The 13,128-nt window shown below is 39.5% G+C and overlaps 1 protein-coding gene across 54 annotated transcripts in view; it reads right to left on the bottom strand.

Annotated features, from left to right (window-relative positions):
• Positions 1 to 13,128, bottom strand: part of ERC1 (ELKS/RAB6-interacting/CAST family member 1) — a 505,975-nt gene that overhangs the window by 75,024 nt on the left and 417,823 nt on the right. For 44 of the 54 annotated variants that reach the window (XM_047428566.1, XM_047428562.1, XM_017019055.3 and 41 more), the window contains one exon: positions 12,663 to 12,761. In XM_047428566.1, coding sequence (XP_047284522.1) covers positions 12,663 to 12,761 — 99 coding nt within the window. Of the gene's footprint in view, positions 1 to 8,371; positions 8,583 to 10,456; positions 10,522 to 12,662; positions 12,762 to 13,128 lie in introns of all 54 variants that reach the window. The other 10 variants (NR_027948.3, NR_027946.3, NR_027949.3 and 7 more) reach the window with 2 other exon arrangements.

Here is a 13,128-nt window from a genome sequence, read left to right as displayed (position 1 = left end):
CAAACAAACAAACAAAAATACTGGGCTTGGGGAAGTAAACCAATAAATGCACACCCTTGCACTCCACACACTGTTCTTCTCACAAAGAAATACACTCATTTTGTAAAGAGTTCCAGATAACTCTCCTGTAGGGTTTTGCTTAAAAGTTTAACCTCGGCCAGGCATGGTGGCTCATGCCTGTAATCCCAGCACTTTGGGGGGCCGAGGTGGGTGGATCATGAGGTCAAGAGATCAAGACCATCCTGGCTAACATGGTGAAGCCCCATCTCTACTAAAAATACAAAACATCAGCCAGGCGTGGTGGCAGGTGCCTGTAGTCCCAGCTACTCGGGAGGCTAAGGCAGGAGAACAGTGTGAACTCGGGAGGCAGAGCTTGTAGCGAGCCGAGATTGTGCCACTGCACTACAGCCTGGGTGACAGAGCGAGACTCCGTCTCAAAATAAATAAACAAATAAATAAATAAAATAAAAAAAAGTTTAACCTCACAAAGCAAAACAACTTTTTTTTTAAAGGAAAAATCTCATTTAATTGATGTTGGGAAATTATTTAAGTCAGTCCCTGGTTCAGAGTATTTTTCTGGATCCAATTTCTAAAAGATGGTCTCCAAATTTGTATCTCTATTGAATGAAAAGTGCTTCAATTCATTAAAAAGTTAAGTTTGTAGCTGTTAAGTTGCCTAAATATTCAGTCTTTGTAAAAGGTATAGGTGTGTATCTTTGTTAAAGGAAATGCTGAATGTGAACACATTTAAAAATAATAAATTATGCAAATGATTCTTTTAAAGACTTCTAAGCAGTTCAAATCAAGGAAGAACAGTGTCATGCTTTATTATGCTAATAAAGCAACCAGTTAAATAAACAAACAAATAAGCCCGGTTCCCAAGCAGAGAACAAAAGGCTAAACCAAAGCCTCAAGGGTAGTTCTTTTCCATTTCAAAACCTTGAAATGTTTACCTGGGAAAGAGGAAGGTGCCTCTTTTCACTAAGAAAAATTTTCAAAATAATATTCAGTGCATGTTTTGAATGTATCTTTTTTTTTTTTTTTTGCCAGAAAATCACCATTACTTCTTTTTTAATTAGGAAAGTTTTAAAATTGTAGCAAAATACACATAACATAAAATTCACCATCTTAACCATTTGAAGTGCACAGTTTAGGAGTGCTAAATACTTTCACACTGTTGTGCAACCATTCTCCAGAACTTTTTCATCTTGCAAAACTAAAACTCTATATCCACTAAACGACAATTCCTCATTTCCTCCATTACTTTGGTTTTTCACAAGGTTTTATGTCTTGAATGAAATGATGAAAAACATGGCTTCCATTTTGATATGAAACATTAAGGGAAAAATAAATTTAAATGTAGAAATTTTGTCAGCTTTTTTTTTTCTTCTCAAGAATGAGACCTGAGAGATGGCTTACTAGATAGAATAAAGGATGTGAGTTCCAGCTTTAAAAAGACCACACTCTTGGAGGCTTCTTACACTACATGTTATTGATATTTGAAGCAAGAAAGGTATGTCATATCTACATAAAGAAATGTATCCAGGACGTATAATTTTGGAGAAAAAGTACATTTGTAGTATACTAATCCTAAAATGCATTACCAGAAAGATTAAGGTCAACACTTAGGAGAATAGTTACAAATTAGTCCAACATACATACATTGCTACCATGGGGTCCTTTTCTACTCAGATTTTAAAAGGAGTTTATTGTTAGTCTTATTTATAATTGGATATTCTTATGGGAATATTCTTAGGGGAGAAGAGATTTTCTTTTTTCATCCACTGCTAGGTTAATGGGGGAGAACCCTATAACAGAGACTAGCAAGAGAAAAACATACACATTTATTTACTGTAAGTTTTATGTAATGTGGGAGCCTTCAGAAACGAAGACCTCAGCCGGTCTCTGTGGCTCAGGCCTGTAATCACAGAACTTTGGGAGGCGTAGGTGGGAGGATTGCTTGAACCCAGGAGTTTGAGACCAGCCTGGGCAACACAGTGAGACCCTGCTTCTACCAAAAAATACAAAATTTAGCAGGGCATGGTGGTACACGCGTGTAGTCCCTGCTACTCAGGTGTCTGAGGCAAGAGGATCCCTTGAGCCCATGAGTCCGAGGCTACGGTAAGCTATGATCATGCCACTACACTCCAGTCTGAGCGACAGAGAGAGAGATCCTGTCTCCAAAAAGAAAGAAAGAAAGAAAGAAAGAAAGAAAGAAAGAAAGAAAGAAAGAAAGAAAGAAAAGAAAGAGAGAGAGAGAGAGAGAGAAAGAAAGAAAGAAAGAAAGAAAGAAAGAAAGAAAGAAAGAAAGAAAGAAAGAGAAAGAAAGAAAGAAAGAAAGAAAATGAAGACTTCAGAAAAGAAGGAAATCTGTGTATGATGAAGAGGAGACAGTCATGGAGAAATTGATTTGAGGACAATTGGGTCTAATCTAATAACAGTAATAAACTGGGAGGAATTAACAAGGCCTGTTGTTCTTTGTGTTCCTCTGTCTTCAGAGATAAGGACATTCTTTTCCTTCAGCTATGGGGTGGGTACCTCTGCAATGAAGGTTTTATGACTTACTTTAGAGGCAGGTCAGAAAATTCTTTATAGCTTGCTTCAGGCAAGAAGGGTGAGGAGAAGGTCAGAGAGACCTTCCTGCTTCTGTTGTTGTATCCAATGCCAACGTGCCATATTTTGGGGTAGCATGTCCTGAATTCCATCATTTACTCTCTTCTCTCTTGTAATCAGCATGAACACAAAGGCATAATAACGTCTTTAAAAAATCCTTCTAGCTATGTATCCTTCAGAGGTAGGTCAAGTTTTGATATAATTAGACATATCTGGCTTCAAATCTGGCTTCTACTGTGTACCAGGTATGTGAACTTGGATAAGTTAGCTAACTTCTCCATGGTTCAGTTTCCTCAGCAGTAAAATAATGAAAATGGTATCTATCTCTTAGGATTGTTATATTGGTTTCAATGAAAACATGCTTACAATGTGATTATAAACTTACAACTTAGTGTTTGGCACTTAGTAGGTATTCTTTAAATGGTAACTACTAGCATCATCCATCATTTACTCTTTATTTCCCAATGCCTTTGTCAAAAATAACTCTTTTCCAAAATCTTTTTTTTTTTTTTTTTTGAGATGGAGTCTTGCTCTGTTGCCCAGGCTGAAGTACAATGGCACAATCTTGGCTCACTGCAACCTTTGTCTCCTGCGTTAAAGTGATTCTCCTGCCTCAGCCTTCCGAGTAGCTGGGATTACAGGCACGCGCCACCACACCCAGCTAATTTTTATATTTTTAGTAGAGACAGGATTTTGCCATGTTGGCCACGCTGCTCTCAAACTCCTGACCTTAGGGTGATCTGCCCGCCTGGGTCTCCCAAAGTGCTGGGATTACAGGTATGAGCCACCGCGCTCGGCCTCCAAAATCTTTTTTGATTTGACATAGGTTCAAGTTGCTTGGGAGAAGGAAAAAAAAAAAAAGCAGCAGCAGTAGCAAAACTGTTTATGTGTTTCAGTACATGCTCATGAGATGAGATGGTGACTTAGAGAAGATAGAGGCACACAGAAGGGACCTGCTGAGTATGGTATGCAAAAAGGGCTGGCAGAAAGCTTGGCTTTTAATAGCAGACGGCAGAGTTCTGAGACAGCTAGTGAGAATCCAGGACAGAAGGATGAGGTGTAAAGGGAGTGAACCCTCTGGAAAACAGTGAAAAGCAGAAATGAAGATTTTAAATTTCTTTGTGGAGAGGAGGGAAGAAGAGAAACCTGAAAAGCAGAAAACAGGTGGTGTGCCGAGGTCAAACAGTAAACTAAAGACATTTCTGAGCATATAGAGGAAACACTATTAAACTGGAGTTCAGGTTGTGCAAGAATAGTTTGAATCCAGAGTTGAAGAGTAAGGAACTCTTATTCAATACTCCCATTAAATGAGAGCCAAGAGGAAGACAGAGAAAGTGAAGAAGGGAGGGGAACGATAAAAGCAGGAAGGGTATTAATGCTATAAGTGGTCAGCTTGTGCCTTCAGGTTAAAGCCAGCTAATAGCTAACATTAACTGAGCAACTACTGATATGTAAAAGCATTGTTCTGTTTTAAGGGCTTTATGTTACTTCATTTAATCATCAAACAGCCCTCTGAGGCAGGTGTATTATTATCCTGATTTTACAAATGAAGAAAGTGAGGTACACAGGAGTTTGAAACCAAGTAATCTGGTTCCAAAGCCCACCTTCTGACTAGGACCTGAAAGCAACAGAACTAGATAAAGGGACAATCAACTTAGAAGACAGTGATTCAGACAACGTCCAAAGGCAGCTGATTACTACTTTAATTCTCTGTAAAGCTTAATATGTAACTGTTCTTGTGAGCTCCTCACATCTGTAGTTTGTCTCTTTGAATTATGGGTGTCCAATATTAAAACAGAAGTGTGGGTGGGGATAGCCATGGAACCAATGGAAGGACAGACACCCTCTGTTTCACTTGGGCTGGTTTCCTCACCAGCCCCTACACATCATATTCTCATTCTTAGGTTGGAACCTCCTTGAAGTTAGTTCCTATCTGAAAACTTTTCTTTTCCTGTTTCATCTTCCCAAACTTTACTCAACCTCCAAGACCTCCTTTTTCTCCCTTCTATAGTTCCAAATTCCTCACTAGATTCCTGGTTAGTCACATTTATCAGTGAACTCAGAAACCACTTAGTTTCTTTTCAGTGAGGGTCTGTCTTGGGTAACCTACAGATATTCCTTACCAGCAAAGACCATTTTGTTATTTCCCCAGTTAGGAATTCAATTCAATTCAACACCCTTCCATGGAGTTGTCTACTATGTCCAAGGAACTAGACTGGAAAATGGAAGACTCCTCTTTGGGTATGGTGTAATGGAGACAGCAGGGGGTCTGGAGTCTGTCCTGGGTTTAAATATCTGCCGCTTGTTAGCTGTGTAATCTTGGAAAATTATTTAACGTCTATGAGCCCTGTATGAGATAAGATACATGAAAGTGCTGGACCTATAGTAAATGCTTAATAAATGTTCATTTTCTCCCTCCTATTTCTCAGCAGCTAGATCCTTGTGCTTCTTTAATTCCATTGGCTTTGTTCTAAGCTTTCCAGGAAAGAAGTTTCTTGCTAAAATCTCTGATCCACTTCTGAAAATAGAGGATCGAATTCTTCCTTGTCTGTCATATCAAAAGTCAGTCCTGATATTGGCCCAAATTGGTTTTTGGACCATTTTCTCCATACCAAGAAAGCAGTGCAATTCACTGCACCATTTAATTCTGCAAGATAATTTAACACCTCCCTTCTATGGATGTATTCTCTAGAAATTTAAGGCTTCCATTGTTGCACTGTTGCAATGAGAATAATTTTAGGATGTTTCCAACTGATAAGTACACTGACAACTCCACTAAGATGGACAAAAAGGAAATGCCAAAAGAGAAGGAGATGCTTGTTTTACAACACTTGTCTTAAAAGTTTGTGTTAATATTTACATCATCTCTAATGAAAAAGAAAAGTCTAGCATACTGGTCCAAATCCTGTTTTGAGATGCTACAGTGCTGATCTAATAGGCAGGCCATTTCCAGATTGTAGTAAGTGGCATGTTCTTATACCAAGACCAACTTTTAAGCCCCTTGGTAGGTCCATCCTTTACTGAAGGGACCTAGCACCAGTTCACACAAACTGCTCCACGGGGTGAAGTCCAGAAAGAGCATATGCTGTTCTTCTTGATGGCTAAGAACCACAGGTTACTGGAAGGAAAGTTTCTACCCGAAGGATTTTCAGTTGGTAAATGAAAAAGATTTCAGAATTACATTCAACTCCATTATATTCAGTGTAAAATTTCAGGAGGCAGACTCTAGGACTTCATTATGATTTTCCTTTAAATTCTCAACATTTCTCTAAAATTCTTTTGTTTCCATTCATCTTTCTTATCTTCCCTTTCTAGTAATAGCAGTGCTGACAATAAAGCTAACAACCAATTTCTATGCTCCTGGTTTCAATGTAAACTTTACTTTTACTTTTCTGGATTTTTGTGAATTCAGTAGTTAAATAAATACACACACACACAGACACACACACACATATATATTTACTGAGGACCTACTATATCCTGGGCATTTATTTAAATGATGGGAATACATAAGTAAATATATTAAAGTCCCTGTCCTCATGGGGCCTACATTCTACAGTAAGGAGGGAGGAGGAGGAGGGAGGGTAAAAGGAGGTGGGGAGGAGGGGAAGAAAGGAGAAAGAAAAAAGAAGAAAACTTACAGTAAACGGATAGAGAGTGGCATGGATAAACTAACTTACATAGGAAATCTTTGCTCTGGAACTCCCTGTTGGGCGGAGACTAAGTCACATGTGCACCACTGAGATCTATGAGTCAGCAACGTCATTGCTATCAATCGAATGTTTGTGTCCCCTCAAAATTCATATGTTGAAACCCTAATCTGCAAAATGATGGTATCTGGATGGCTTTGGGAAGATTATTAGGTCCTGAGGGTGGAGCCCTCATGATAGAATTAGTGCCTTTATAAAAAGAAACACCACGAGACAGCTTGCTTCCTCTCTCTCTCAGCCCTGTGAAGACACAGTGAGAAGCCAGCCATCTGCAAAGTAGGAAGAGGGTCCTCACCAAACATCTGACCACGCTGGGATCCTGACCTCAGACTTTCAGCCCCTAGAACAGTAAAAAATAAATGTTTGTTTTTTAAGCCAGGGGTCTCCAACCCCAGGGCCCTGAACCAGCACCTGTCCGTGGCCTGTTGGGAACTGTCCAGCACAGCAGGAGAGGAGTGGCGGGCAAGCGAGCATTACAGCCTGAGCTCCGCCTCCTGGATCAGCGGCGGCATTAGATTCTCACGGGAGCGCAAACCCTACTGCGAACTGGGCATGGGAGGGATCTAGGTTGCACGCTCCTGATGAGAATCTAACTGATGCCTGATGATGTGAGGAAGAACAGTTTCATTGTGAAGCCATCTTCCCCAAGCCCCCGTTGTGGAAAAACTGTCTTCCACGAAACCGGTTCCTGGTGCCAGAAAGGTTGGGGACTGCTGGTTTAAGCCATCCAGTCTATGATATTTTCAATAGCAGCCTGAGCTGACTGAGATAGTCATATAAGACTTCATGGCTATTGGACCCAGTGCAATTTAAACACATTACAATATAGACATTTATTCAAGTGATTTACTGAATAGTTACATAACTTATCAAATCATGCTCAAATTCTACTTAGTTATTGAACTTAGAACACCTAACATGAATGCCTGAGCAGAATGACATGTGAGAGAGAGAACCAATTTCTTTTTCTTTTTTTTTACCTTTTCTTTTTTTTGGAGACTGTCTTGCTCTTTCACCCAGGCTGCAGTGCAGTGGTGCGATCTTGGTTCACTGCAACCTCTGCCCCCCAGGTTCAAGTGATTCTTGTGCCTCAGCCTCCTGAGTAGCTGGGACTACAGGTGCCTGCCATGACACCCAGCTAATTTTTGTATTTTTAGTAGAGATGGGGTTTTGTCATGCTGGCCAGCCTGGTCTCAAACTCCTGGCTTCAACCAATCTGCCTGCCTCGGCCTCCCAAAGTGCTGGGATTACAGGCTTGAGCCACCGAGTCTGGCCCTCACATGGATTTTCTATAGGCCAAGAGGAGAGTGAAGGAACTGTTATTTTTTTTTATGAGTGGAGGCAGTCCTTGCTTCAGTCCGTGTGTCTTAGGAGGGCTGCTTGACAGCTAATTCTTTCAAAGATTTCACTGACTAAATGTCATACAATAGGGAATTTCTTTATAAAATTCAAGGTGTTTTCCCAAAGGAAAAAATTCCTCAACATATAGGAGATGAAACTTGTGGTGATGGAAGACAGCTATCACCATCAATATGTCTTCACTACCTCTTTTACTGTCAGATACTAGTTCTTCCTTCCAGACCACAGAAATGCCTGGGGACCTTAAGTCACAACTTTTCAATCTTTGTTTTGCATCCTGACCTATAAAATGAGGGCACTGGATTAGACGATGATGTTAGTAACAACAGGAACTAACATTTATTGAAAGCTTACTATTTCCTGGAGACGGATCTAAGTTAATGATGACAACGGCAACAGCATAACAAAGGCATGTACAGTACTGCTCAAAGCATTCTACAGCTATCAACTTATTAATCTATCCAATAATCCTAGGAAGTAGGCATTATTCATAAACCCATTTTTTGGATAAAGGAACTGGGGCTCAGGGAGTTTAAGTGACTTTCCCAAGGTCACAGGGCAGGTGGAGAGGTCTAGATTCAAAGCTGTGCAGTCTGGCTCTGGAGTCCACGTGTCTCACAACTTATCTACTCCCCACAACAACCTCCATCCTAAAGATGAAGAAATTGAAGTACAGCGCAATGACGTACCTTGTCCAAATCAGAAGCTAGTACATGGTGGTGGTAGAATCTGAACATAGGCATCCCGCTCCAAAGCCTACACTCTTAAGCGTTACGTTTTACCACCTCTCCTGAAATGGCCTAACTCCAGAATCCTTTTCAGCTCAGTACATCTGTGATTCTCTTCCCATCTATGGATACATCAAGTAAGGCTCACACTTGATCAGTATGTATTGGTGTCCTAGAAAATGTTTCAGATGCAAAACACACGTTTTTAAGTTTGATAAGGTAAATCGTCAATTTCAAAAGTTTGAATTTCTAAAGAAAATCTATCTTCTGTAAAATTAGTGAGGAAACAGGAGAAGGAAAGTGGATAGCCAGTCAAAACTTCTGCAGTGTTTTAGGGGTCACTCATGCATTTCTTTAGGTAAAATCCTTATGATATAATGAGGTTTACAGCACATTTTATAAAATTGGAAACACCATATCATAGAAACGCCAGTTATGGCTGGCTAATTGCAATTGCATGGTGTTAAACCAATGAAAGTTAATATATTAGTGCAATATGCTCAATAGTGCGATAATTGGAAAAAGCTAAGTTATCCTATTTTGGTAGAGAAAGGAAAATGAAGATTTCAGGAACAAGTTTATATACTGATTTGCTTACTTTCTAGTCTCCTGGTGAAGTTACCTATAGGCCTGTTTCCTAGAATACCAACAGGCTTCCTCTGATTGGCCAGAAAAAGGATTTGCGACAAAAATATAATCATGTCCACATATGTGGTGCTTCCAGCTGAAGGAAGCTAAGAAGCTCCTATGTTCTGCCAAAATAGACAAGGTAGGGGCATGCTCATTTCTAAGAGACCAGTAAACTACATCCAGCTACTGCACGGTCTCACATGCTTGATGATGACAAATACCTACCCTTGTCCAGTGCAGATAATTAGCACATTGACTGCTCTCAGCTTTAGCTTTCTCTGACATGCAGCATCCTAACCTGAAGAGCTTTCTGGTTGACCCAGTGCGTTTCAACTTCATTCATGCCCTCAGGATAAAGCCATCTGGACAGCTTCCCACCTCACAGCGCATGGCCCCTTTCCACAACTTACCTCTCCATCCTTCTTGGTTGTGCTCAACGTTAAGAGATCTACACATGTCCTCATCATTTTAAGAAGTTTAACACCAAGACAAAGACATTTCAGGGAGAACTGACTCCAGGGGAGTGAGATCACTGATAGGCATGGGCAGTGAATCCAGGGAGTGCAAGGCCACCAAATATGTGTGAACTTATTAATCATAATTATTACTTTTTCTAAGAAAAGGATTTCCTTAGTCAAACCTCAAGGGCATCAGATCAAAGGGAGATACTGCCACGGCTGGACTATACTTTCCAGCCAATTGTCCTGAAAAGGAGAATCTAGACAGTGTCCTGGCAACTGTTGAACACTGCAGCAATCCATGAAAAGGGAGGGAAAAGAATTTTTAGAATGACTTCTAAAAAAAGTTTTCCTTTACTTTGCTCCTCAATATTTTTAGGGATAGTTTGAGGGTAATGCCAAAGCCCCAGGGGATGTGTCCGAGGTGCTGACTGTGAGAGCTCATTCTTCTACAGAAACAAACAAAAGGAGGTTTTAGTTCACAGTACAGTTTTTTTTTTAAACACCATGTATTTATAATTAATCATCATAAAAAGTATACCTCAAACTTAGGCCAATGAGCAAAGTACTTGATCAATTTTCTATTGCCAATTTCATATAAAATTACTATAAACCTTGCCAGGACACTGTAAAATCACCCTAGAAAGGGTAATTAATAAAATCACAACTGGAGAAATTTAGTTACACGTCCTAGAAGTTCTCCCAAAAATGTATAAAAAGAAATTACAGAAGTGACTATTAACACACAACGAGAAAAAAAAAAAAAAGCCACAAAATCCAAACCCCACTATGTCAGCAGCACAGCAACACACACAAGAATCACGTGAAAATAAAAAAACAGAAAGCACACCAGGGATTTCATGAATTACAGAGAAATGAGATGTGAGAGTTACTGTGTAAAAAGAAAAATGAAAACAAACAAAAACCATTTCTATAGTTAAGGAAAGCTGTTTCTCACCGTTCTGAACAAAATGGCTGAACTAAGCCTCTGATTGGCTATGCCCATATACCCTCCTCCTCATCCTACAGGGAGAGAGATGACAAGGGGGCAATGCCCCAGGGCAGCATGGAATGAAAAAGAGGTGGTTAGTATTTAAAACAAAGACATAAGCATAATGTAGCAGAAGAGAATTTCTTGACTCTCTCATACAGATTCTAATTCCCTAAACTATCAAAATTAGTAGTTAATGTTGGTCCTCTGTATCTGCAGGTTCCACATCTGTGGATTCAACCAACCGTGGATGAAATATATACATATACATACATATATATATATAAATCAATAAAAAATAACAATGCATTGATAATAAAATTTTAAAAATACAGTATAACAACTATTTACACAGTATTTACATTGTATTAGGTTACAAGTAATCTAGAGATGATTTAAAGTATATGGGAGGGGCCAGGTATGGTGGCTCATACCTGTAATCCTAGCACTTCGGGAGGCCAAGGCGGGCAGATCACCTGAGGTCAGGAGTTTGAGACCAGCCTGGCCAACACGGTGAAACCCTGTCTCTAACTAAAATACAAACATTAGCCAGGCATGGTGGCAGGTGCCTGTAATCCCAGCTACTCAGAAGGGTGAGGCAGGAGAATCACTTGAACCCAGGAGGTGTAGGTTGCAGTGAGCTGAGATCATGCCACTGCACTCCAGCCTGGGCAACGCAGCAAGACTCCATCTCAAAAACAAAACAAAACAAAACACAGTATATGGGAGGATGTGTGTAGCTTATATGCAAATACTATGCCATTTTATATAAGGGACTTGAGCAACCATGGATTTTGGCATTTGTGGGTGGGTTTGTCCTGAAACCAATCCCCTGAGGATACTCAGGAACAACTGTAGTTTGTCATTATACTTCTTTTCTTCCTACTTTCCAAGATGCTATCTCTATCTCAGGGCTGGATCTGGGCAAAATTACCAAGTTGGAGGTTTTTCTTTATGTTTTGCTTTTCCTTCAACCTTTCTCTGTTTGTCTCTTCCTACTCCAGGCATCCAGTTCTATTATCAAAAACCTGTTTTCATGAGGAATCAAACATGCATCTTATATACCCTGGCATAAATTCAGTTCCAGGTATCAGGAAGCAGGCAGAAAAGGTAAAATGATCTCTTGGCAGGGAAAGACTGCTGACACCAGGCAGATAGCTCTCCATTTTGCCCACATTAAATATTTACATTGTTTTCCTTCTAAAATACAAGGCTTGCCTCAACTGGCTTAGGAAACGTCATCATAATAGGACTATACCTTCCGAATCTTGGAAGCAACAGCAATTTGAATACCATTGCTGCTTTCATCTGCACTATTTCTCCTGCTTCTGCTAAGATAACGCCATAGCTGTTATTTAGTGGAGACGTTTAGCAGGAAAGTTTTCCTTGATGCTTTAGTCATATGGATGTGATTACCTGACTGGTTTTTTTTTTCCCTTAGCTACATATTTTAAGACTGGGTGTGATAGAGATGTTAAAATTTGATTTTTGGTAATGGGATATGAGGTAATCTGTTCACCATTCTCTCCCATCCATCATTTTCAAGATTTGGGGAGAGTTCCCTTCTTCCAAGAAACTAGAATGGAATATGGTTCCCTTCAGATTCATCAATATCTCTTTTGCATTGATGAGAAGTTGAAGGCAACAATTTTCCTTAAGCATGACATGCTGGAGGGATCCACAAGGACAGGGAGTGAAGAACTAAGTTTCAATCTTCACTTTTAATAGGTAATGAGCAGAGAGTTCATAATTTGCAACTAAACAGAAATAACCTCCAAACTGTGCCTCACTAGGCTTGTAAGGAAAGAGTCTTGTTTTTCTAATAAGGCACTATTTCTTTAAAAAGAAAACCAAGACAGTTAAAAATTAGTAAAGACAGTTAAAAATTACATATTATTAGTGTGTATCTCTGAGGTTAATTTTTTTCTCAACCCAATTCAAGCATTCTTTATTGTTCAAATCTTTCAAGTATCTGCTCTTAAAATATCCAGTTCTTCCTATAAAGAAACTGAATCTGTGATTTTTTTGAAAAGAGTAGAGTTTTCAGAACTGAATTAGCTATTTATTTTTATTCTTCTAACTTATATCTCAGAATTTGCAACATGCTAGTACAAAAACATTTCAAAATTTAAGTGTGTGGGTTTTTTAATAAAACATTCCAGAGCCATCTTACCTGGTCTGGGGAGGGCTTGTGATTTGTTTGATTGGAATGGGAGGATTTGAAGTGGTCATCCTCGTAGTTGTCGGCCATTAGCTTCATTCGATTTTGCGTCTAGGAAGAAATTATTCATAAGGTTAAATTTAAGTAAAGTTTCTATGACACACTGTAAAGTAACGAGTATTTTAAGAGTTCCATAAGAAAGGATAAAACTAATCCTGTCTGCAATAAAATAAACTAAATATGGGATTTCTGAGGATACTGGAAAGAGTTTAGCCAATACTACGGGCTGAATTGTGCCTCCCCCAAATTCATATGTAGAACCCCTAAACCCCAACGTTACCATACCCAGAGACAGGGTCTTCAGGAGGTAATTAAGGTTAAATGAAGTCATAAGGGTGGGGCCTTAATCTGATAGGACTGGGCTTCGTAAGAAGAAGAAGAGAAAAATAGAGGGATTTCTCTTTATATCTCTGTCATA

This window comes from Homo sapiens, chromosome 12 (genome assembly GCF_000001405.40).
Source record: "Homo sapiens chromosome 12, GRCh38.p14 Primary Assembly".
NCBI lineage: Eukaryota > Metazoa > Chordata > Mammalia > Primates > Hominidae > Homo > Homo sapiens.
The sequence above is the reverse complement of the archived record's forward strand: the minus strand, read 5'-3'. Positions and strand labels throughout refer to the sequence as shown.